Source organism: Homo sapiens, chromosome 6, assembly GCF_000001405.40.
Source record: "Homo sapiens chromosome 6, GRCh38.p14 Primary Assembly".
NCBI lineage: Eukaryota > Metazoa > Chordata > Mammalia > Primates > Hominidae > Homo > Homo sapiens.
The window spans coordinates 156,172,017-156,199,152 of record NC_000006.12 but is presented as its reverse complement, the minus strand read 5'-3'; the positions used below and the strand labels follow the sequence as shown (position 1 = coordinate 156,199,152).

General features: G+C 38.7%; 1 long non-coding RNA gene across 1 annotated transcript in view, besides 1 other annotated feature; it reads left to right on the top strand.

The window, feature by feature from the left end:
* The window catches only part of LOC101928923 (uncharacterized), a 487,547-nt gene that overhangs the window by 97,119 nt on the left and 363,292 nt on the right, over positions 1-27,136 (top strand). The window lies entirely within an intron of this gene.
* Positions 22,765-23,636: an enhancer, noted in NCBI's record as "OCT4-NANOG hESC enhancer chr6:156496651-156497522 (GRCh37/hg19 assembly coordinates)". NCBI's record gives its function as "activates a minimal SCP1, AML or CMV promoter by ChIP-STARR-seq in primed H9 embryonic stem cells {active_cell/tissue: H9 hESC(primed)}" and the evidence as "EXISTENCE:reporter gene assay evidence [ECO:0000049][PMID:30033119]".

The window sequence follows — 27,136 nt, the reverse complement described above, 5'->3', positions numbered from 1 at the left end:
TTTGGTGTTTTACATTGGAAATAAATAAAATCACTCATATATCTTCCTGTTTTCTCTTTCTTATCCCCTACAGCACAGCATGCCTTGGGACTGCCCCGGCAACTCAGAAAGGGGGCATACCGCCAATCTAGTTCTTCTCAGTATTCCCACTTTAACTTCAATTTACACTTTCATGGGCTCTTGAACTTCTTGTTTTCCAAGCTTTGCTTTAAGGCCCACTTCTGCAAAAAACATTTTTATGAATCAGTAGAAGACCCTAGAAGTTTCCCTACATTAATAATTTCTTACTCTTAGATTTTGACAGTGTGCTGACAAAGACAATTTTTGTGTTTTAGTAGCATTTGCTCAAGGCAGGTTGATAGTTGATACATATGACTTCTGCTACACTCTAGCTGAGTGACACATGGGTAGAATGAAGGAATACTGTACTTTGTTTTGGTGGTCCTTATGCTTGATGAATGCAATCATTTGTATTTTTTTTTGGTTCTGACTTTCACATATGGTTTTATCACATTTTGTGGACTTCATTGTGACTAATGATTTCCTCCAATATTTATGTATTTCCCCAGTATACAGATCTGTGTTCACATACATACTGACTCTAGTGTCCTCAGATCTATGCCCAGGAGATGAGCAGTATTTTGGTATTTCAATGGGTAAGTTCCCTCAGAAGGGGTACAAGAGATACCTAGCCAACATTAGCTCTGCAGTGAGCCAGAAATGTGCTTTCATATACGTGTAGTATACGTCCATTTGAGGTTCCTTTTTGGCAACAGATGTAAACAGTTTTGTATTTCTAGTAAAAATAGTTCGTTCTTGTTTTAAAAACTAAGAAAGTACAGAAAATATAAAGGAAGAAAAAGAAGAAGTCCTCTTAAATTCTAATACTTGGAGATAACCATTAATATTTTGAGATACATTCTTCCAGAATTTTTTCTTCTTAGCTTAGCATTCACTCACTCAAACACAGTGTATGAGTACACACACACACACACACACACACACACACACACATACATACATAAATATATACACATGTATTCATAGACTTACTGCATTTACAAAAAATGTGATCATAGTATGCAGTGATTTTAATCTGTTTCTTCCCACTAAGATGTTTCCTACTTCTGAATCAATGTGCCTCTGTTTAAGCAACTATTTTACCATTTGGCTCATTTACTATCAAACCCTGTTTCTCTTCTAAGGCTTTTCTGTGTTTATTGTATACTATTTTGTAACACCTCTTTGCTAAGGGTGTTACAAGATGCAGTGTGTAATTGTTTTAAATGAAAACCTCCAAAATAGGTAATAGAAATATGAAAACAAGTGAGAAAGAAAGCCAGCATGTAAAAATCAAGAAAGGAGGAAGAGACCATATGTAGCACGGGAAGTGGGGTTTGCATCATGTTCTTTGAAAATCACAGGATCTCACTTCCTTTGGTTCTCAAACAAACAAAAAGTTAGCTGACTTAACTCTGTATGTGTTGCCTCATGAGGCGATAATATATTCTCCTCATATGAACTCCCCCAATGCTGGAAGGATTGCTGCCTGCACATGCAATGGCTTGAATCTGCCCCTCCTGGCCTTGCCACCCTTTTATTTCTTCCCATGAATGCTAAGGCACACTATTTCAATGCTAATCTACATGACTTTCAAATTGTTCAAAATATTTTTTTGATGTTTCAAAGGCTGAAACTCCTTGGCAAACTATAAATCTTAATGGAAACCAATGTTCTGCTGAAGAGAATGCATCAATGCAAGTTAGCTACCTCACTAGAAATAAAACAGAAAATTAGCAGTGAAAGCAATTTGAATGTAGACTTTATGCTGAGAAATAAAGCAAAAGAATAAAATTGCCACAGTATATTTTAGAAGGTCCTGAACACAACAAACTCTCTTAAAAAGACAATAAAGCTGCTGGAGCAAAAAGCAATGATGTGGTCACACACACACACACACACACACACACACACACACACACAAGCTGATTGGACAGAGAAAGAGCTCAATATTCAATCAATATTCAGCAAGAATACAGGGGTAAGGTGGGGGAGTGTCATAATTGTGTTTCACTGAGCATATCATAGGAGGATTCTGAATCTATGTTTCTCAGCAGTAAAGTGGAGAAGAGATCTGCCTTTGTTCTCTTTACAGGGAATGGCTTATTCCACAACGATACCAAGTGAAGAGCTCTGGAACACCTTGGTGTGCCCTAGAAGGAGCTATATAAATTCACAAAGCAGTACACATTCTCTTAATTGGCATGCACAAAGCTGACTCATCCAATTAACCAATGCTCTTAACTCTTTCTGTAAAACATACTGACTGAGCCCCCGCCCCGCCCCCACCCACAGTAGGCTACTCTTCAGTTTACCACCCACACAGATCTAAAAAGTCCGCTGGGTTTATAGTAGTTGAATTTACTATTTTAATAGTACATCTCAATTAAACTATGTTATATCATGAAACATAACTGTGAGAAGAGTTTATATGTCTGTGAAACCAAAGTTAAATGTTACATATTTAACTTTGATAAAGTTATAAAATATTCCTGTTGTTTCAGGTGTGAATAAGATGACTATAAGATATTAGGAAAATTGTGAGCTCACCCCACTACCCATATTGTTTCTCAGGGATACTTACATTCTGTCAACTTTAAAGAAACTGAAATTAGAAGTTATAGACATTGCATTATAAGTGTGATTTATGCAAAAACAAACAAACAAGATGGCATGAAACTCTAAACACTGATCACCCATCTGAAAGTGAAAATTAACTAATGAAAAGATTGGTGAATGAATATTTTCAATGAAAACAAGATTTTAAAATCATATATATTTCACATGTATATGTAATTTTAAAACTGGTTATCTGATTTAATGAACTATTTTGATTAAGGACTGTGGTATTCTATAGTATTTCATTAAGTTTCCTGTGTGGGTCACCTATGAAACAGACGGGTTTTTCAGAGCAGTCCCTACAATACTGTTTCCATTCCTAAGGCTAAATTCTTAGCTTGGTATAGACAGGGACAGTGAGCCCTCAGTTTTGATTCACACTAGTATATACATATAGAGAGAGGCCCTGCTATACCTGCAGGAGTTGTTTCAACGTTTAAAAATGCCATATCTGCTAGGCACGGTGGCCCACATCTATAATCCTGACACTTTGGGAGGCTGAGGCGGGCAGATTACTTGAGCCTAGGAGTTTGAGACCAGCCTGGGCAAAATGACCAAAAAGAAAAAAAAGTTGCCAGGCATGGTGGTACACGTCTGTAGATCCAGCTACTCAGGAGGCTGAGGTGAGAGGATCGCTTGAACTGAGGAGGTGGAGGCTGCAGTGAAACATGATTGTGCTACTGCACTCCAACCTGGGCAACAACAAGACTGCCTCAAAAAAAAAAAAAAAAAATGAATAAAGGAGAAAAAGGCCACTTCAGAAATGAAGACTAAATTATACAGAACAAAATAAAATACTCACAGTTTGAAGAATGATTAGGAACATAAAGGTTAGAATTGAGATAATAAGAAAATATTTAAAAATATTTTAAAAATGGATATAGAAAAAATGATATGGAGGAGAGGCAAAGGAAATGTAACATTTCTGTAATTGCAATTCCCAAAGAAGAAAATGAACACATTGGAACAAAGCAAACATTTAAACTACAACTCATGACACCTTTCTTGAAATAAGATTTAAATGTATATATTAAAAGTGAAAATTGACCCCAAACTGTGAACACTGACCCATTACAATATTTGATTTTGAAAATGAAACAAGTATCTTTATAACAGCCAGGCAAAAACGAAGTTCTTTTGAAAGAAAAGTTATGCTTTGATTTGAATGTTGGTCCCCTCCCAAACTCATGTTGAAATTTAATTGCCATTGTAACAATATTAAGAGGTGATACCTTTAAGAGGCAATTAGATCATGAAGACTCTGTCCTCATGAGTGGGTCAATGCTGTTATCATGGAAGTGGCTCCCTTACTGTGGGAGTAAGTTCCTTAAAAAGGACAAGTTCAGTCCCCTTTTGTCTTTCTCTTTGCCCTTTCCCTGTGTGATGCTTTCCGCATGTTATGGCACAGTGAGAACACCCTCTCTAGGTGCTGGTGCATTGATTTGGGGCTTTCCAGCCTCCAGAACTATGAGAAATAATTTCTATTCTTTATAAATTACCCAATGCGTGGTATTCAGTTATACCTGCACAAACCAGACCAATGTCATCATCGAGCTTCTCAACAGCAATGCCTAATGGCAGAAGCCATGGAACTACCTACGAGATACCCAAGGGTAAAAAAAGGATGCGCCCAAAACCTTGTATGAAGCTAAGTTGCTCCTCAGTTTTTGATACGGTTTGGCTGTGTCTCCACCCAAACCTCATCTTGAATTGTAGCTCCCATAATCCCCACATGTCATGGGAAGGACCTGGTGGGAGGTAATTGAATCATGAGGATGGGTTTTTCCTGTGCTATTCTCATGATAGTGAACAAGTCTCATGAGATCTGATGGTTTTATAAAGGGCAGTTCCCCTACACACACTCTCTTGTCTGCCGCCATGTAAGACGTGCCTTTGCCCCTCCTTTGCCTTCTGCCATGATTGTGAGGCCTCCCTAGCCGTGTGGAACTGTGAGTCCTTTAAGCCTCTTTCTCTTTGTAAATTGCCCAACCTTGGGTATTTCTTTATAGCGGTACAAAAATGGACTAATACAATTATAAAGGATGCAGACAAATTGTTTTGATCATATCTTGATGGTAAATTCACTAGAGAATGACCTTTGGCCAACAAGGAGGACATAGGGAAAGTTGTAGGAAAAAGACTAGTGATGAATATTATATATATATTCAACTTTGAAATTCAGATTAAATGAAAGTTATAAATAAGCATGACAGAATGATATGTACATTGTAGATGCTCTGAAAATGTAGGAATAATATACCAACAGAAATGGAAGAATGGGAGCTGGGTGCGGTAGCTCACGCCTGTAATCCCAGCACTTTGGGAGACTGAGGTGGGTGGATCATGAGGTCAAGAAATTAAGACCATCCTGGCCAACATGGTGAAACCCCATCTCTAGTAAAAATACAAAAATTAAGTGGGCCTGGTGGTGCGCACCTGTAGTCCCAGCTACTCAGGAGGCTGAGGCAGGAGAATCACTTGAACCAAGGAGGCAGAGGTTGCAGTGAGCCAAGATCACGCCACTGCACTCCAGCCTGGCGACAGAGCAAGATTCCATTTCAAAAAATAAAATAAAAAGAAATAGAAGAATGGGTAGCAAATGTGGAAAGTAGTCTAAGATCATTGCTTGCCACATAGGTAATAGCCATAAGTTATCTTTTAAAGCTGACAAATCAGTTGGTAAAATTTTAGCTTATTTATCTATGAAGAACTTAAATTTACAAGAAAAAAAAACCCATTAAAAAGTGGGCCAGGTAAATGAACAGACACTTTTCAAAAGAAGACGTACATGTGGTCAATAAGCATATGAAAAAAAGCTCAACATCACTGATCATTAGAGAAATGCAAATCGAAACCACAGTGAGATACTATCTCACACCAGTCAGAATGGCTTTTATTCAAAAGTCAAACAAATAACAGATACTAGCAAGGTTGTGGCGAAAAAGGAATACTTCTGCACTGTTGGTTGGAGTATAAATTAGTTCAGCCACTGACGAAAGCAGTGTGGTGCTTCCTCAAAGAGCTAAAAACAGAACTACCATTCAACATAGCAATCCCATCACTGAGTGTACACCCAGAAGAATATAAATCATTCTATCCTAAAGACACACACACGTATATGTTCATTGCAGCACTATTCACAATAGCAAAGACATGGAATCAACCTAAATGTCCATCAATGGTAGAATACATAAAGAAAATGTGGTACATATACACCATGGAATACTATGCAGCCATAAAAAGGAATGGGATCATCTCCTTTTCAGGAATATGGATGGAACTGTAGGCCACTATCCTTAGCATTCTAATGCAGGAACAGAAAACCAAACATTGCATGTTCTCACTTACAAGTGGGAGCTAAATGATGAGAACACAGACATATAGAGGGGAACAACAGGCACTGGGGCCTACCTGAGGGAGGAGGGTGGGAGGAGGGAGAGGGTTAGGAAAAATAAGAAATGGTTACTAGGCTTAATACCTGGATGATAAAATAATCGGCACAGCAAACCCCCATGACATGCAGTTTACCTATATTAAAAACCTGCACATGTACCCCTAAACTTAAAAGCAAAGGAAAAAAAAGAAAAATATCCGTAAATGTTAAAAAAAATTTTAGCTTATTTAATACTACAAAGGCAAATATAAAAGGCAGTAACTGTATTTTTAAAAATTAGGTCATGAAGGAAAAGGAAGAGCTTCCAAACTGTTGTTTATAATAGGAAACTAGTACATAATGTTTAAAGAAAAGATGGAATTAAAGACATTATATAAAAATTAATATAAAATTAACTCCAAGAACGAAACAGATAACTTTCTAAGTATTAGAATAATAACCAAAAATAGAAAACAAAATAGAGCAAAAATATCGCAGATCACATTGTGAAAATTATGTATACATATACATATATGTGAACATAGTATGAGTTAATATTACAGACTAGAGACCATACATATCTGCTGTATGAATAAATAAAAATAAACTTAGCTGTTAATAGAAATTTCAGGCTGGATTACCAAGTACATACAATTCTCTATGCTGTATACAAAAGAAACATCTAAAAGTGTTTAAGAAAAGCTGAACAAAAGGATGGAAAAAGTTATACTAGGAAAATGCAAACAAAAAGAGACAGAACTGGAGGTCACAATCTTAATGTTAAACAAGGTGAGATTCAGGCCAAAGAGCATTAATAATGACAGACATGAAACTTTATAACGCTGAAGGCTATAATTCACTCAAGATGCAATATTTAAGAATATCTATATAGCAAATTACAGTGGGAACTTTCATGAAATAGAAACCACAGCAGATAGAAGAAACTCACTAATAACTGGAGGTTATGACTAACCTTTCTCAGTACAAGTCACATCAAGTGGTTTAAAGGAAACACAAAAAAAGCAAGGACAGAGAAGACCTAAGCAACCTTTTTAGTTACTTCCTGCGGATATATATCAAACGAACACCCTGGCTCCAACTTTTAAAGAGCCCATAGATCTTTCATACAAATTGATCACATATTAATCATACCACAAAGAAAATTTCAATAAATTCTAATGAAGTAGACATAGGGGCAGCAAAATTATCTGAAAGCAATACAATGAAATTATAGTTCAATACAGAGCAAGGCCTTTTCACTTGGAAATAACAAAAATGTTAAAAACAATTCTTGGGTCAAAGAAGAAATATAAATCAAAATACAAAATTTAATAATGATGAAAACATATATCAGAATTTTGCAATATAACTATATCATTGCTAAGAAAAAAGTTATAGCCTGAAATATCTTTATCAATAAAAAATGAAACAATGAAAATAAACTAATTAGATATATGACTCAAAAAGCTGGAGAAGAGAACAAGAGGATGTCATTAATAAAATTAAAAAGCATATGTTTTTTAGTTAGAATACATTACTTCAATATCCTTCCTTTCCTTTCCTTTCCTTTTCCTTTCCTTTCCTTTCCTTTCCTTTCCTTTTCCTTTCCTTTCCTTTCCTTTCCTTTCCTTTCCTTTCCTTTCCTTTCCTTTCCTTTCCTTTCCTTTCCTTTCTCCTTTCCTTTCCTTTCCTTTCCTTTCCTTTTTTTTTTTTTTTTTTTGAGACAGGGTCTTGCTATCATCCAGACTGGAGTGCAGTGCAGTGGCACCATCCTGGCTCTCTGCAGCCTCAACCTCCGAGCTCAAGCGATCCTCCCACCTCAGCCTGCCGAGGAGCTGGGACCACAGGCATGTGCCATCATGCCCAGCTAATTTTTTTTGTTTGTTTGTAGAGGTGGGGTCTCCCTATGTTACCCAGGCTGATCTCGCACTCCTGAGCTCAAGAGATCCTTCTGCCTCAGGCTCCCAAACTGTTGGGATTACAGGCCTTCATTGCTTCAATATCTCTTATAAGGAAAGACTGAAAACAGCACAAGTACAGAGAACCAAGCATGTGGTTGATTCTACATCCACCCAGTGTGACACCATGCAGCTGTCAAACATGAAGGAGGACAGTATCTAGGTACTAATGTGGAATGATATTGTCAAATGAAAAAGCTAAGGTGCAGAGTGGTGTAATATGAAAGAGAAGAAAATAAAATTACATGTTCCCACACTAGTTTTTGCATAAAGAAACCTTGGAGGGACCAAGGAGAAATGAACACAGATGATTTCTTGCAGGGGTAGATGACAGCACAAGGTGAAGAAGGCCGGGGGTGTTTCGTATTCTATGCATTTTTAAATGTTTTCATTTTGGGAACATTTTAATATAGCAAAAAACAACAATCTGCACAAAACACGAGAAGATAACAAAATATTTTTCTAACTATTGATATGGGAAAATAAAGAAGAGATGGTTAAGAGTTTGATACCATGGCCACCACTAAACTTTTGGCTGGTGGGCGCAGAGAGGAGAGACATCAATACGATGAAAGGAACCAAGCTGCTCTCTTGACAAGTTGAGTGGTCAGGCAACAGATGCTGCTCCACGCTGGGCCTCCTGCCAAGAGTGGAGTTGTGCTCCTGGTGGGGACAACAGGCTTCCGTCACCCTCACCTGCCTGTGTTGTTGCATGTCACAGAGAGAGGGATGCGAGGTGGGCTCCTGCTGCTCACTGCTTTTCCTGCGTGTTTCTCAGCCTGACAAAGATCAGGTTCCCAATGGGGATGGAGATGGGGGCCAGGAGTTTGCTGAACATTTATTTCATTATTTGAATGTCCATGGGCAATACATGGACGAATATATTGTCTACGTAAATACATTCACCCACATGCCTTAGGAAGAAACGTTAATCATAGACTGGTGGCTTTTCTCTCTTAGAGATTTGAATCTCTTCTTCACATAGTAGGACACAGAATATCAAGGAACTCATAAAGCTCTTGAAATGGATATTTACACTTATTTAAGAGTCTTAACAGATTTAATCCAAATAGAGTTAAAAAAAAAAAAAAAGACTTGCCTGAGACTGCAACTATAAATGCCAAGTTTCAATCCAGACAAAATTTTTTATAGCTGGGCTGGCAGGTCTTTACAGACATCTTGTCAAAACAGAAACCATCAAGAACAAGCCAAAACAAAATCCTACCTGCCTTACTGCCTGTGCCTCTGGGTGTAGAAATGAAGAGAAATAGCAATATTGCACAATTAGAAAATAGAGCTCCTGGGCAGGGTTGGTGTATCTTCCTGACTCTCCTTCTTTCCTTCCTTCCATCTGGGAAGACAGGCTTTAGTAAGGCTACAGAAAGAGTAGTCATTTTGTGGACATAAAATACTGGATCAAGGTTTTTAAGGAGAGGTGATTCATATTAAGAAAAAAAAAATTTATCCTGTGAAATCTTCACTCTGGACCATCTTAATGATATGAATCATTGTTTAGCATCCTTCTGTGGGGAGGGTGAAGTAGAATCACAGAGTATTTGGTGGGGATTCGTGCTGAGTAGAGAGAGAGAGATTAGAGATCAAAGGGAATCCCATCATACCAATCTCAGGTAGACTCATCTCTGATGGAGAGTAAAGGACTGGTTTGCTCTTTATGCTAGACCTTGCTTGTTTGTTGATGTACTCACAAAACAAATCACTGTGTGGAGACTGTCTTGGTGGAAGACCAAAGGCGTAATTTACATGACAACAGACTCCTCCTCCATTTACTCCACAAGTCAGGAAGCCTTGGTCTCTGGACTGTAACAGCTGTTTTTTTGAGAGAGAAAGAGCAGACTAAAATAAGTGTCCATCAAAAGAATTTGTTTTGGGGTGTGGAAAGCAAAAAACAAAACAAAACAAAAAATACTTCCTAAGTTTTGATAGACTTGTTTGGGAGGTACATTTACCATTAAAATTTTTCTTAAATCCTTTCTAGACTAAAGCATAAAATAGAAGCTTAAAATTCTTAATAGTATTCCTCAGTTTCTCTCACAGTATCTCCTCCAAACAAATGAAAAAAACACATAGAAAATAGAGTGGTATGGAAAGGTATTTTAGTTACCGAGGGTACACCATGGAGGGTCGGGGTCAGAGTTCCCTGACTCAACCTGCTCTGTCACCTTCAAAGAATCATCTCTCTCTCAATGGAAACAGCACAACTCTTTGTTCTGGTTGCACTTTTTTGGTGTGGAGTCCTTTGGGAAAAGAATTTCCCCTCCTCATGATGCCTGCTGCTGCCCACCTCTCACCCACCTTCTTCCCCTCTCCTGGCTGGTGTCTGTCCACCAGTCTAGACATAGCAGTGATAGGTGCCTCAAGCCTGCAGATTTCTACCCAAATACGAAATTGACTTGAGAAATCTCCTCTTCCTTTCTCCTCCTGCTAAATGCCTGGTGTCTAATATCTGATTCCCTCCTCTTGATTTGTCACCCCCAGTACTCATGTGAAAACCTCACTTGTGTGATGAGAACAAACCTTCCTATCTGGTGTTTTCTCCTCCTGATAGATTCCCTCTCAACTTAGCTGTTTCCCTATATCCCCGGAGCCTTTGGGGGACATGGATTATCAAAACTATAACCCTCCTCATGCACTTAGAAAGAAAAAACACAGTAGCTACAAACAAACCAGGGAGACCTGGGAATTAAAAACAAATCGACTGACAAGTGGCAGTTCTGTTGGGATAAAAAAAAAAGTGGAAAAAAAGTTTCACTCTTTTAATTCAACAAGCCCAGCTGTGGTTATTTTGAAAGTCACTGACCGCTCTGACTGCAAAAGCAGTGTAGACCAAACTAAATTATTATTCCCTTCCTGTTGAGTTTTTTTTTTTTGTTGAAGTTTCTAGAACTCAACTCTGATGGTAAAACAGCAACTACAAATAACATTCTTTCCTCTTTAGTAAGGTGGTAGCATTCATTATGAGATGACTTTTTTTTTTTCCTAAAGAAACTCTAGCACCTTCATCCTCCAGGAGCAAATGTTAGCATAGCTGAGATGGGGAAATTTCTGAGGGAAGACTCTGAATTTTTTTTCTCTTTGGAATTTCTGTTAATGATAGGGCCAAACACAGTGCTAGCTCAGACCTTATAGAGCTAAATGGGCTCTATCCCAGTTGCTTTTTAATTCCCTTTTGAATACAGGCTGTGAGAAGAATTTATGTCCTATAATGATTCATATATAAGATATAAAAGCAGCCTTTCATTTTTGTTTCGACTCCCTCCCAAATCCACTATCTACAGTTCTACCACAGGAATCTTTTAAATCACAAATCAGGCTACTGTCCTTCCCCTATTTATAACCTTCAAAGACTTCCCATCATCTATAGCAAAGATGGCAAGGACATTTCATCTTGCATTCTGATGGACTGAAATTGACTTCCTAGAGTGCCATGCTAAAAGGACTTGGGGAGGCATCTGAGTTCTGTGGGAATGCTGTGATCAGTTAGCCATGTCTGCCATGGACACGGAAAGGGGGAGTGGTGACAGGTATGTCATGCTTAGAGCACGTGATGGAATCTTTGCCGAGCCATACATGTCCCTTAGTTTCTTACGAGGGTATATTTGTCTCTAGGCTTTTGCACTGAACTGTTCCTCTACCTGACTCATTCTCTTTCCAACTTATTTCTTCAGTTTGGTTTTATTTGAATTTCAAGATTGAGTGAAGATTCATCTCCCTAGAGATTTTTTTTTCCTGCTCTTTGACTGTAGACCAGGTACTATGCTTATGTGCTACCATTGCAGACTGTTGTTGCATCCATCATTGTACTTAACCCACTGTATTATAATTACCTATGCAGGTACCTGCTTCCTCTATGAAACTATAATGTCTCTGAGGGCAGAAGTATATTTAATTTTCTCATTAATTACCTAGCATAGTGCCCAAGGTCTTAGCTAGCGTGTAATAATTTTTTACTGAAAAAAAAGTGGATAAGTGAATGAAAAACAGCGTATTTCCTACAGGTGTGAAAAATAAAATAGAACTTACTGGTCTGTGCATTTTGTAATAATTGTGTAAGCAAATGTTAAATAATTATTAAAAAACAACAAAGAATACTGTTGGATAATTTTAGTAATTTTTTTCATTTGTTGCCATGCATTCATTTCATACCGCAGGGGAAAGAAAAATATATTTCCTCACCCATCACTAGGTTCATAGCTGAAGACTCTACAACAAAAGACAGATTAACAAGAGAAAACATGTGCATTAATTTAATAAGTTTTATGTGCCAGGGGAGCCTCTATAAGAAAATGAAGGTCCAAAGAAACAGGTAAACTGTGTATTTTTATGCTTAGTTTTGAAGAGTGGACAGTCATGAAGAAATGTGATTGGAAGACGAAAGGATATGATGTAGTGGAAATAAACTGGATGAAACTTAGGCCTGTTTGTTCAGATTTCTCTGTGCCTCCGTGTCTTCAGAGATAAGGATGTTCCTTTCCTCCAGGTGTGGGGAGGGCACCTCTTGAATGAGTGTTTTATGGCCTGCTTAAGGGGAGAAGGGCAAGGAGGTGAGTGTGACCTTCATTCTACTGTTTCCACAAATGCCAATGTGCCATATTTAGGGGTATCGTGTCCTGAAACCTGTTAGTACATTGATTTAGGGTTAAATTCATGGTTGTTTTTTCACAACATTCCTAGATTGTTTTGGTGAAAGCCTGCTATTTTTCATGCATTTTACTGTTTCTCAAAATGACATTCAAATCTTTTTTTTTTTTTTTTTTTTTTTTTTGAGACGGAGTCTCGCTCTGTCGCCCAGGCTGGAGTGCAGTGGCGGGATCTCAGCTCACTGCAAGCTCCGCCTCCCGGGTTCACGCCATTCTCCTGCCTCAGCCTCCCAAGTAGCTGGGACTACAGGCGCCCGCCACTACGCCCGGCTAATTTTTTGTATTTTTAGTAGAGACGGGGTTTCACCGTTTTAGCGGGGATGGTCTCGATCTCCTGACCTCGTGATCCGCCCGCCTCGGCCTCCCAAAGTGCTGGGATTACAGGCGTGAGCCACCGCGCCCGGCCTCAAATCTTTATCTACATATATATATATACATACACACACACACACACACACACACACACACACATATATGTATAAACAAAAATATAGTTTGTTTACCACATGTCCTTAGATATGTAGTAAGTGGAATAAAATCTGAATTTTCAGAGCTCTCTACTATATTTATTCACTCATCAAATATTTACTGAGCATCTACTATGTTCAATGTGCAGGGAATACAGTGGCAAAAATAAACAGTATACACAGCCTGGTACAGCTGAAAGCCTGACTTGCTCCATCTCGGAATTTTCCCTGTTTGGGTGGGTTGACTAGCTCCCAGTTACTTTGGACCCATCCTATTCAGAAAGAGACTCCAGGCTGGATGTGGTGGCTCACGCCTGTAATCCCAAACTTTGGGAGGCTGAGGTGGGCAGATCACCTGAGATCAGAAGTTCAAGACCAGCCTGGCCAACATAGTGAAACCCCATCTCTACTAGAAATACAAAATTAGCCAGGCGTGGTGGCGTGCACCTATAATCCCAGCTACTTGAGAGGCTGAGGCAGGAGAATAACTTGAAACTGCATGGTGGGGAGTTTGCAGTGAGCTGAGATCACGCCACTGCACTCCAGCCTAGGAGACAAGAGTGAAACTCTGTCTCAAAAAAAAAAAAAAAAAAAAGTCCAAACAAGATTTCACCCTGAGAGTGAAAGCTCCCTTCTACTTCAGAGCTGAAGCAAGCAGAGGGTGCTGGGTATGTAGGAGCATCTGTGGCTGCAATCAGTTAAAATGGGTGTTTGAGGGTTCTGGACGACTACACACCTTGTTGAGATGCACCTGCTCTGGCAGTAACATTAGCAATTATTTAGACCCGTTCTGCTTTTCACTTATAGCTTCTAAATGGCTTCAGAGGAAACCACTCCCACATTTCAGGAGACAGAAATTGATCCCTTGATCTGGGCCAGGAAGAAAGAAAGAGAAAGAGAAGGTTAGAAGTGCCCCAAATTAAGCTAAATCAAATTCTTTAAATGTTAAATTAAATCACCAAGAAAATGAGTTCCAAAGGAAAAGGAAAGGCATAAACTTTTATTTCCTTAAAAAGATAGTCCCTTGCTTAACAACTGAATAGTTTTCACTGTTTTCCTCATCTGAAAGGCATTTGAGCAGTTTTAAAATTGTAATGACTTAATAAAGGAGATGCCTCAGATTGGAGAGAGGTTTCATCTTCAGAACTTCTCTTGCCCCAATTTTGTCTTATCCAGAGTACTTAATCTAAGAGTAGGGGGGTAAATCCTCAACTATAGTTATTTTGTGACAATAATTTCAGTATTTGCATTTTTACCATTCGTCTTCTAAATAACTTTTTGAACAAGGTTCTTATGCTCTTTTTAGGGATGAAGAAATGAGGGATTGGAAGGTTGTGCTATTTGCCCAAGTGGCCCAACCTGAGGAATGGGGTGCTTGCCAGGACTTTAAGCCCTGGGTGCATCCTAGGACCCTGCTGCCCTACAAGGCATGCCCTGGGTCAGCTCCCAGGACCCACTCTGCCCCATGTCCTTCTCTCCCAGGAATTTTACTGGGGACCAAGAAGGTGATAGAAGTTGTGAAAAGCATAACCTAAGAATGATAGAGCCGTGTTCCGGTTAAGAGCAAGCAAAGGAAAATTAGGAGGGCAGTAGGAGAAGAAGATAGAAAGACAGGTTGGGTCTAAAATTTTAAAGTGCCCCAAATGCTAGGCAAAGGAGATTTCCTTACTTCATTAGGCGAGAAGGAGCCATTAAGGGTTTTTGGACAAGATGAAATAACAGGAAAATTAATGTAGTGTGTAATGGATTAGATAAAATAACAGATTTAGAGTCAGGGAGAAGAGCTAGGACAGAAGATGCAATCATCCAAGCAAGAAGTCCTACTTAGTGTGAACTTGGAAAAGAGTGCAGTAAACAAGGCTGTGATTTAATATTAGAGACACACATTTTTACTAATCACATCTAAATTCTAGCAATGTGTAAAAGACTAGAGGTAGGAAACAAACACAGAGTTATTTAAAAAGCTTGCAGTAGGATGGTAGGAAATCACCATGGGAGCAATATGTGGAAGTCCTGTAGGTGTTATAGAAAGACTAGGAGAGATGAGAAGGAGGACATTTGGGAGGTGCATTGTAACTGAACATGGCTTCCCAAGTAACATTTCAGCCAGGGATAACAAAGGCACAGTCGTCAGGATCTGAGGATGGATGAGTCAGACTTTGGTAGAGAAAAAAAGCAAAGAACACTGGTGGTGTTCAGCACACATGGCTAAGGAAGGTGATGTGCAAATAACAACTAAATGGCGGGAGAACTCTTTAGGGGAAGATGTGTTTGCTTTGCGGAAGAATCCCATTTTAAAGTTCCACCTAGTCATCTTGGTAGATATGTCTAGTTGCCTGTTAGACACATAAAATTAGGGTTTTAGGAAGAGTCCAGAGCTGACACTATTGATCCAGGACCCATTCTCTCAGAGGTGACTATGGGAGCCATGGCCATCACCATGGCTACAGAAGCAATGATTGGATTACTGTGTTAGTTTGTATAATAGGATTGACCAAGGAAGAGTCAATCTTGTAAACTTGAGGCAGTGGAAATTTGAATCAGGTGAATTTTTTAAAATTGAAGAGGATTCACAACTTAGCTTATAAAAAATAGGACTCTACACACCGCTTTACTTTGTCTATGAAGCTCCATGACAGAGCATATGGCTGAGAAACCATATAGAATGCTCTAGAATAAAAACTAGAAAAAGAAAAAAAAAAGATCTGCGTAGAGCTTTTAAACCAAATTATAAGAAAAGAGAAGTTTGGAAATTGTAAGCTAAAGTCCGATCAGGTGGCACACGTTATTGTTCAGGGGTTATACCAAAAGTCATGGTCAGAAATGGAAAAGGGTTAGTCCAGAAAGGCCCATTTCTGGCAGAGGAGAAGGACTTGTGTAGTGAGATGTACTTTTCATGGGCGTGTTAGACTCTGCTTCCTTGAGAGTTTCAGGAGTATTATTTCCACTACGTAGGAGACAGCATTGTATTTTTGCCTTCATTTCAAACAAAGCTCACCTTTGGTTTGTAGGTGAGCTCCTGCCTGCTGGAGAACCCTACCCAAGTCTGGATTTTATTTGTCTGTTACTTAATCAATTTACTTATTCACTCCATTCACACCTCCTTCCTTCCTCCATTTATCCAATGTTCATTGAGCTCCCACAAAGAACTACACACTGTTCCAGGCACCCTGGGGGTACAAATCTGAAAATATTTGTCTTGCTCACAATTTGCTGTGGGAGACAAATGTGACTACCTCTGATCACTATACAAACAATGGAATAAATGCTTTGTAGGAGGAGTACACGTCCAATCCCATGGGCCCACTAGGACAGTGTATTTGAAGAAGCTTTAATATAAGAGGTAACATTTTAACTCTGGCTAAAAGGGTAAGTAGGAGTTTGTTAAATTGAGCAGTCAGGTTTAGCCTAGGGTAAAGCCCTCCAGCTACAGGAAACAGCACATGCAATGAATATGGATGTTTGAAAGGATGTCTATTCAGGAAATGCTGGGTGGGGATCATAGCAGAGTTGTCAGGAGATAAGGCTGAAAAATCAAGCAAGGGTCAAATAAGGCAGGGTCTGTTCTATCATGTGGAATTTAGTCTTCTTTTTATTTAAACTTGAACCCGTTGAAAAGAGATGTTGCTAATTCTACTATACTAATTCTAATGGTTCCCACTGATTATTAATTGACAAAAATTAACAGCCAGTAATCTTTGAGTCAATTTTTATCTTTGGCACTTATAAACCCCCATTGCAATTTGCCATGGAAAATAACTTTAAAAGCAACCACCCTGCTACTCGTTAGCGCATTACTGTTGGAATTGATTTGAGTCTAGAGTAGTACCAGAAAATGGCACAAAGTGAATCTGGTCTCTGAGCTTCATCTCACCAAGGATAATATATGTTTAAACCTTCCTTCTTAAGAAAAAACAGCTACTGCTTTTACTATCTTGGGATGTTAAAATACCTATCAATACACTCTTGGCCATGAGTGTGACTTAAATTTTTTTTCCTGAAAAAAAAAATTAAAGAATAAAATGGATGAAAATCTTAAGAACCATGAGATTTATTTTGTTTTCATTAATTCCATTAATTATGCCCGTCTCTTTTTAAGCAATTAAGAAATTTTATAGAATGTAATACTTTTTTATGTAAAAATAAAATGCCTTGTTGTTGTGCTTAGTACAAAAGGACAATGATTCCAGGACCCACTGAGGATTTCCAGTCCGAGCTCGGAATCTGTGGTTTGTCGTTCAGTTTTTGGACTATCCACAGAAACATTCCTTTAAAGAAATATATCCTCAGTTAAGAAACGTGGAGGATCGCCAGGCACTTAGCTGATCTTTGTAAACTGGCAGGCTTGGGTAAACATCTTCCAACTGATTTTCAGACACAGCATTAGCAATCAACAAATATTTTCCGAGCACTGCACATACACATTAAGGGTTTCTTTGAGGTAAGATGCTAGAAAAATAGGATGTGCTTTTAAGGGCAATGTTGGACCCTGCTTCTTCTTGGAGATGTAATGTGCCTATTCCTATTCTTTCATATAGCCCTGTGAAAGCACCGTGAACCTTTTGGGGACAAATGGTATAAGTCAAGTGAATACCCCTTTGTGTGTGCTCAAAGAGAAAGACACAATTTAAACTATAGGTCAATATTAAATGTTCCATCATGTGTGTGCACATGCTTATATATCTTTGTGTACGTGCGTGTATGTGTGTGTGTGATCTATTTGGAAACTGAGAATAAAGGTAATTAAAGGTTGGATTAAAATAATGTGAATGAATAGCATCAATAAGAGTAAAATACTTAGGATTAAATTTAACCAAGGAGCCTAAAGGTTTGCTCACTGAAAACTATAAAATATCCATGAAAGAAACTGAAGAAAACAAATAAAGGGAAAGATGTCTCATGTCCATGGATTGGAAGAATTCATATTGTATAAATGTCCACATTACCCAAAGTGATCTATAGATTCAATGCAATACCATTCAAAATCCCAATGGCATTTTTTATTGAAATAGTAAAAACAATCCTAAAACACATATGGAACCACAAAAGATCTCAAAGTCCAAAGCAATCTTGAATAATAAGAACAAAGCTGGAGGCATCACCCTTCTTGATTTCAAACTATATTACAAAGTTATAGTAATCAATGCAGTATGGTACAATTTTTATTTTTACATAAATAAAGCATTACATCCTGTATGCTCTCTTAGTTGCTTAGAAATAGGCATATAGACCAATGGATCAAAATAGGGAGCCCAGAAATAAACCCACACATAAATAGCCAATTAATCTTTGACAAGGGTTCCAGGAATACACCATGGAGAAAGGATAGTCTCTAACAAATGGTGTCGGGAAAACTGAATATCTACAGGCAAAAGAATGAAATTGGATTTAAGAATCCAATCTTACACTATACACAAAAATTAACTCAAAATGGATTAAATACTTAAATGTAAGACCTGAAATTGTAAAATTCCTAGAGTTAAACATAGAAAGCTCTTTGACATTGGTCTTGGCCATAATTTTTTTGTATATGATCGCAAAAGCATAGACAACAAAAGCAAAAATAGACAAATGGGATTGAATCATACCAAAAACTCCTGCAAAGCAAAAACAAACAAACAAAAAAAACCAAAACCACCAACAAAATAAAAATGCAACCTACAAAATGGGAGAAAATATTTGCAAGCTATGTATCTGAGAGGGGCTGAATATCCAATATATATATATATATATGAGAAAATCATACAACTCAATAGCAAAAAACAAACAAACAAACAACCTCCCCCAGTAATCCAATTTAAAAATAGGCAAAGGACCTGAATAGATATTCTTCAAGAGGAGATATACAAATGGAAAACAGGTAAATGAAAAGGTGCTCAACATCAGTAATCATCACGGAAATATAATCAAAATTACACTGAGATACTACCTCAAACCTATTAGTATGGCTGTTATCAAAAGTACAAGTAATAACAAAGTTTGTCAATTTGTGGAAAAAATAGAACCCTTGTTCACGTTAGTGGGAATGTAAATTGGTATAACTGTCAGAGGCATTTGAACCAGAGTGACTCCATCTTGATTAGAGGCTAGGTAAAATGAATCAGAGACCCACTGGGCTGCATTCCCAGGTTAGGCATTCTAAGTCACAGGATAAGATAGGAGGTTAGCACAAGATACAGGTAACAAAGACCTTGCTGATAAAAAAAAGGTTGTGGTAAAGAGGCTAGCCAAAACCAAGATGGCCATGGAAGTGACCTCTGGTTGTCCTCACTTCTCATTATACACTAATTATAATGCATTATCATGCTAAAATACACTCCCACTAGCACCATGACAGTTTACAAATGCCATGGCAACATCAGAAAGTTACCCTATATGGTCTAAAAGGGGAAGGAACCCTCAGTTTCAGGAATTGCCCACCTCTTACCTGGAAAACTCATGAGTAATCTACCTTTTGCTTAACATATAATCAAAAAATAACCATAAAAATAGCCAACCAGCAGCCCTCGGGGCTGCTCTGCCTATGGAGTAGCTATTCTAACTTTCTTAATAAACTTGCTTTCACTTTACTGTATGGACTTCTGTTGAGTTCTTTCTTGGGTGAGATCCAAGAATCTTCTCTTGAGGTCTGGATCAGGACCCTTTTCTGGTAACACAGCTGTTAAGGAAAATGGTAAAGAGAGTCCTCAAAAAATCAAAAACAGAACTACCACTACTGGGTATATATCCAAAGGAATGTATTAGACGCTGAAAGACACTCCCACTGGCACCATGACAGCATCTTGAAGAGATGGCTACACTCTCATGTTTTTAGAAGAATTATTCCAGTAGCCAAGATATGGAAACAACCTACGTGTCCATAGATGGATGACTACATAAAGAAAATAAGGTGTATATGTGTGTGTGTGTGTGTGTGTGTATATATATATATATATATATACACTATATATATATGCAATATACATATATGCAATATATATATGCAATATACATATGCGCTATATATATGCGATATACATATGCGCTATATATATGCGATATACATATGCGCTATATATATGCGATATACATATGCGCTATATATATGCGATATACATATGCGCTATATATATGCGATATACATATGCGCTATATATATGCGATATACATATGCGCTATATATATGCGATATACATATGCGCTATATATATGCGATATACATATGCGCTATATATATGCGATATATGCGCTATATATATGCGATATACATATGCGCTATATATATGCGATATACATATGCGCTATATATATGCGATATACATATGCGCTATATATGCGATATACATATGCGCTATATATGCGATATACATATGCGCTATATATATGCGATATACATATATATGCGCTATATATATGCGATATACATATATATGGGTGTATATATGTATATACTCATATATATGGGTGTATATATGTATATACTCATATATATGGGTGTATATATGTATATACACGTATATGGGTGTATATATGTATATACACCCATATACACACACACACCATATTTTCTTTATGTGTATATTTACACACACAGTGAAATATTATTCTGCCGTAAAAACAAAGCCAATCTTGCCATTTACAGCAATACAGATGAACCTGGAGGAGATTATACTAAGTGAAATAAGCCAGATACAGAAAGATAAATACAGTATGATCTCATTTATGTGTGGAATCTAAAAAAGTCAAACTCATAGAACCAGAGTAGACCAGTGATTGCCAGAGGCTGGGTTGTGGGAAAATTGGGAGATGTTGGCCAAAGAGTATAAGCTTATGTTACTGAACCCCACCACTTACCCATAGTTGGCCTTTGGATTGGGGTTTTCCTCAGCATTGTCTCTTCCTTGGTTGCCGGAAAGATGTTACTGGAAAGGGGTTTGGATCCAGACTCCAAGAAATGGTTCTTGGATCTCAAACAAGAAAGAATTCAAAGCTAATTCATAAAGTGAAAGCAAGTTTATTAAGAACGTAAAAGAATAAGAGAATGGCTACTCCCTATGCAGGGCAGCAAGGTGGGCCATTGGTTGCCCATTTTTATGGCTATTTCTTCTTGTTTATATGCTAGACAAGGGGTGGATTACTCATGGCTCCCCTTTTCCGAGCATACAGGGTAACTTCCTGACGTTGCCATGGCATTCATAAACTGTCATGGCGCTGGTGGGAGTGTAGCAATGAGGACTACCAGCGGTCACTCTTGTCGCCATGTTAGTTTTGGTGGGTTTTGGCTGGCTTCTTTACTGCATGCTGTTTTATCAGCAAGGTCTTCATGACCCGAATCTTGTGCCGACCTCCTGTCTCATCTTGTGACTTAGAATGCAGAACTCAGCCTTATGTTACTCAGTCCTAGTCAAGATGGAGTTGCTCTGGTTCAAATGCCTCTGACACTTTTAGTCATAGGATTAATAAGTTCTGGGGTTCCAATGCACAGCATTGTGGCTACAGCTGATGATACTGTATTGTATGCTTGAAATTTGCTAACAGTAGATCTTAAAAGTTCTCACTACCCGCAAAAAGAATGGCAGCTACGCGAGGTGATGGATGTGTTAATGATCCTGATTGTGGTAATCATTTCACAATGAATATATACCTTAAAACATCATGTTGTACATCTTAAATATATAAAATTTTGGCTAGGTGTGGTGGCTCACTCCTGTAGTCCGAGCACTTTGGGAGGCCTAGGTGGGTGGATCACCTGAGGTTGGGAGTTTGAGACCAAACCTGGCCAACATGGTGAAACTCTGTCTCTACTAAAAATACAAAAAAAAAAAAAAAAAAAAAAAAAAAAAATTAGCCGGGTGTGTTGGTGGGCGCCTGTAATCCCAGCTACTCAGGAGGCTGAGGCAGGAGAATCACTTGAACCCAGGAGGAAGAGGTTGCAGTGAGTCGAGATCATGCCAATGCACTCCAGCCTGGGTGACAAGAGGGAAACTCCGTCTCAAAAACAAACAAACAAACAAAAAACGAATTTTTATTTGTCAATTATATCTCAATAAAGCTGAAAACAAACAATGTGAGTGGTTACTCTTTTTTTAATATTTCTTTGCAATAGTAGACTTTATCCTTCCTTCCCTTGCTCTGCCATTTAAATACTGTTCAGTGTGTGGAAGGAAATGAAAAATCCTGATTAGCCAGTAGTATCATGAGAAGTTATTGAGCACAGTGCTCTTATATGACACTGGAACTCAAGTCCTTGTCGTGCATACCTGAATCAGTTTTCTTTAAAACTGCAGTGGATGTAGGTCTAATTCACTACCACAAATATGTTGGGCTTTGCTCTTCAAAAGAAACCCAGAAATACTTGTCTTTGCAATCCAGCCACAGACAGCATTAGTTGTGGGAATCAGAGGTATATGATTTTAGGATGGAAAGATTTTGCTGCAGGCATGTTTAGATTCAGTGTAAGGGGTGATTTCTTTTGATTTGTGTTATTTGGGATACAGAACTGATGCGCTTCTTATTCTTTCATTGAGACCTAATAGAAAGATGGGTTATAATTGTAGAGAGAAAAGGAGAATGAATAACGTGGACCCGAAGTGTATACTTGGAAGTCACGAACAAGCATGAACTGACTTTTTAAGCTTTCCCTTCCAAGGGTGAAGACTTCATGGTGTGTGTGTGCGCACGTGTGTGTGCGTGCACGCGCGTGTCTAAGCCCTGCCAGGAAAATCCCTTGAGAACAGCCTCTGCTTCCTTTTGTGTGGAGCGTGGTCACACCCAGTGGCCAGTTAGGCTAATCACACGTGTATATTCCCCGGGGATACCTGAGAAAGAGCAGCCGGCCTCAGTCACTTCCTCCGGTGGATGCCAGAGGCCAATTTGGATAATAGCAGAGCCACCTTGTTCCTTTCCTTTGTTCCAAAATGTGGTGCCTGGGTAGGAAAAAGCCCCACACCATTCATGATGTTAACAATAGCAGCATTAACAGTCATTGGACTCCCACCGAGTGTGTTATTCTTTAAATTAGAACCCATGAATATAATGAGATGGATTTTCACAGGAACAAGGGCAGGCTGAAACAAAGAGGTATTGCTTTTTATTCTTATTTCCCTTGATTTTTGCATGATTTAAACATTTTGAACCTTAACTGTTCTTTTCATTTTACTTTTGAGTTGGGGAGGGTGATATCATGTTAATGTTAGAAAGAAAAAGGACCATCTTTTTAGAATGCAAATAGAGGCAGAAACTCTATTTATGAAAATTTAAAGAACTGTATGAAACAACTCCAAAACATAGCATCCTCAATCAGCATCAGAATGACGCTTTTCTTTCTTGTGTGCTTGATTTTTAAAATTATCTTAATAGACACTGTGAAGGTCCCTTGTGTTACTCAGGGGCAGGCTTGACTCATGGATAGAAGCACTGAAGTTGTGTTTGTGACTTGTGGCTCTGCCTTAGGCTGATCATAAAGTAGAAGTTGCGTCCATAGGAGGCTTCTTACCCACCCAGTGAAAATTTAGTCCATTTCTCTTTAGGAGAGAGCCTGTTCTGGTCTTCTTTTCCTGGACGGTGGATACATTTTTCACACTTTATGAGTTTGCCTTTCCAGAGCCTTATAGGGGATCAGGTTGTTGCACCGCTCTGATATTCATGCCACTGAAAACTTAAATCAAGCTTTATTTACTGTTCTAATTGAATAGCCCCCTGGACAGCCAGTCCGTGGTGACTTCACCCTTTTCTGAAGTTCAATCATTTGGCACATTTCAGAAGAATAAAGACTTTAATCATCCAAAACAAATTGAAGCCAAGAGACCAGGGTCTGAGTTCTGGTCTCTTGGTCTAAGGAGTAGTTGACCTTGGTTTGGAAGTTACTTGGCTCCAAACAGAGTGACTCAGTCTCCTTCTGTCAAATCAGGAGGTTGTACTAGAAGATACCTAACATTTTTTCTAGCTCCTTGAGAAGGTAATTTTAATCAGAACCTCTTTTCCTCTCTTAGCTCATTTCCACAATCCATTATTTTCTTCTCAAAGATATTCATTTCTTAATTAAAGATAGGTATTTTTAATGAGTCCTGCAGTCTCTGGGCTAGTTCTTGATTTCTCCTCTTCATTTCTGTGCTTCCTATAAATCCTGTAGCCATGATCTACTGCCAGATATCCGATGTGTAGGTGGTGATGTGTGTTCTTGTTTTATTAAAGTAGAACTCTTGTTTTTCTTCCAACGTACAGATCGTTTCCCGCTTGATGCTCATAGCGGGAAGAAACGTAATGTTTTACAATGAAAAACAAAACTTGCATTCATGGTTTGTGTCATTTGCTCCTCCTTCTCTACCTGGCCTACACCAGCTCTCGCCCACATGAACTTCCCTCTTCTGAAGAGTTATCATGGCCCCAAGTGACTGAGCAATAATGAGTGAAGCATTCTTACCAGCAAGGTGGTTGAGGGAATTACACGGAAAGTTACATGGCATTCTTGTTCAATGAACTCACTTTCAGTTGTTTCTTTAAATAGGTAGAATATTTCCCTGCCAGAGGTGTAACTGCCCAGTGGGTTCACTTTGCCTACTGCCTAGACAGAGTCGATTTATCAAGACAGGAAAATTACAATAGAGAAAGAGTAATTCATACAGAGCCAGCTGTGCAGGAGACCAGAGTTTTATTATTACTCAAATCAATCTCCCTGAGAATTCAGGGATTGGAGTTCTTAGGATAATTTGGTGGGTAGGGTGTTCTGATTGGTTGAGTGGGAGATGAAATCATAGGGAGTCAAAGCTGTCCTCTTGTACTGAGTCAGTTCCTAGGCGGGGGACCACAAGACAAGATGAGTCAGTTTCTTGATCTGGGTGGTGCCAGCCAGATCAATGGCTGTGATGATGATGGAGTGCATGGTCTGCAAAATATCTTCAGTACCGAGTTTAGGTTTTACAATAGGGATGCTATCCCCAGGAGCAATTTGGGGAGGTTTAGAATCTTGCAGCCTTCAGCCACATGACTCCTAACCCATAATTTCAAATCTTGTGGCTAAAGGGGTTTGTTTTGGGAAAGGGCCGTGATCTCTTTGTTTCAAAGCTAGGTTCCTCCCATAGTTAGTTCAGCCTATGCCCAGAAATGAACAAGGACAGCTTGGAGGTTAGAAGCAAGACGGAGTTGGTTAGGTCAGATCTCTTTCATTGTCTCAGTTATAATTTTGCAATGGTGATTTCAATCAGACTTTGACATCCTTCTTCTATGGTCATAGTAGAAAAAGAAAAAAAGCAAATCTGATATGCCAGTAAGAATGCAGTTGCCAATATAGCCACACTGAGCGTACCTTCACCAGCTGCAGTATCACACACTATAGCCAGCTTTCAAGATTTTAACAAAACGAAGCCCTCACTCCAAATCAAAAGTTAAAGGCTCGGTGCTTAAAGATGGAAGTTTGAGTCAATGGATAATAAATGCCAAGAGTGACCAGAACCCTCAAGCGAAAAGGCAGTCCCCTTGACCAGTGACTCTCCCATGTTACCCTCCTGGTCATCACCTGGAGGGCATTTGATAAATCAGAGGCTAGAATGCACCCCACAGCTTCTGATTCTGTCAGTCATGGGCACCGCTAGAGAAATTGCATTTTTAACCCATTCCCAGATGGTGCTGATGCTGCTGTTTTTGAGATCACCCTTTGAGGAACAAGAACTATAGACACACAAAGAAGACACTTCAGTTCAGCTAAAATGATTCCTTTACTGACACTGCTAGAAGGTTGACATCACTCCTCAGTGAGTGGTCCTGGAGACTGATAGCAAAGCCACTTGGCATTGTACATGTGTGTGCATAAAATGTATAGCTCTCATTTTAGAACAGGGAGGAGCGAGGGGGATCATTCCTTATCAACAAGTTAGGGCCCGAGAAACTGCTGTCCACCTGCCTGGGATGAGTTTTGATTCTGCCATTGACTAACTTTGTGATGTGGGGCAGATAATTTCAAGGCTCTGTGAATCACTTCACTCACTTATAAAATGGAAATAACAATAAGAGCACCTACTTCATAAGGTCATTGTATTAAATGGGCTAATATTTTTCAAGCCCTCAGATCAATACTGGGTACTCAAAACATATAATACAAGTGGAAAATGCCTGATCACAAGAACACTTTATTGCTATGTAAAATATTTGGGTTCTACCACCAAGGGTGGGCCAAATCAGATAAACATCACAGGGAATTTTATTTTAACAAAGCTGATGATGGTCTGATTGTGTCGCATGGTATGATATAACACTGTACTTTTGCCTACTTCTCAGAGAATGCCTTGTGATTTTTAACACTTATGTTCTCCCCTGCTGGAGGGCTTCGGTCTTGAGCTCTTGTTCCTATTTCCTTGACTAAAGATGACACCTTGTTGGCGTTCACTTTACTGGCTTATATATGTATTTAGATCATTGCTTCTGTAACACAGACATGAGGGACAAGAATTATGGGAAACACAAAGAAGACACATCTGTACAAAAAGTGTCTTATCTACCATCATTCTGTCCAGCAATCATCCATCTAAATCAATCAGTCAAATATCTATCTCTATATCTAATCTATTGAATCTATCAAATGATCAATCAAATGATCTAATCTATCATCTGTCTAATCTATGTCTATCTATCTAGCTACTATCTACCATCTATTTACCTATCTATGTCTGTCTGTCTATCTATCTATCTATCTATCTATCTATCTATCTATCTATCTATCTATCTATCATCTATCTACCTATCTGTTAGAGTAGGCAAATAGCTAGACATGAGTAGGAGTGGGGAGCCCCTGAGAAAAGGGAGGTCTGGAAAATCTCACACCCCAGAGACTATCCAAAACATGCATACTGGATATGAGCAGAGAGGAGGAGAAATACCTATGCAGAAAGCAACACCCCTTAAGATGCCTAGTCATCTCTCACTCTACAGTTAAAATATCAGAATGTTCCTAGGTACATGCTGATAAGGAAGGAGAAGCACAAAAGGGGGCATTCCTAAGAAATATGCAGGCACAATAAGTACAGATTT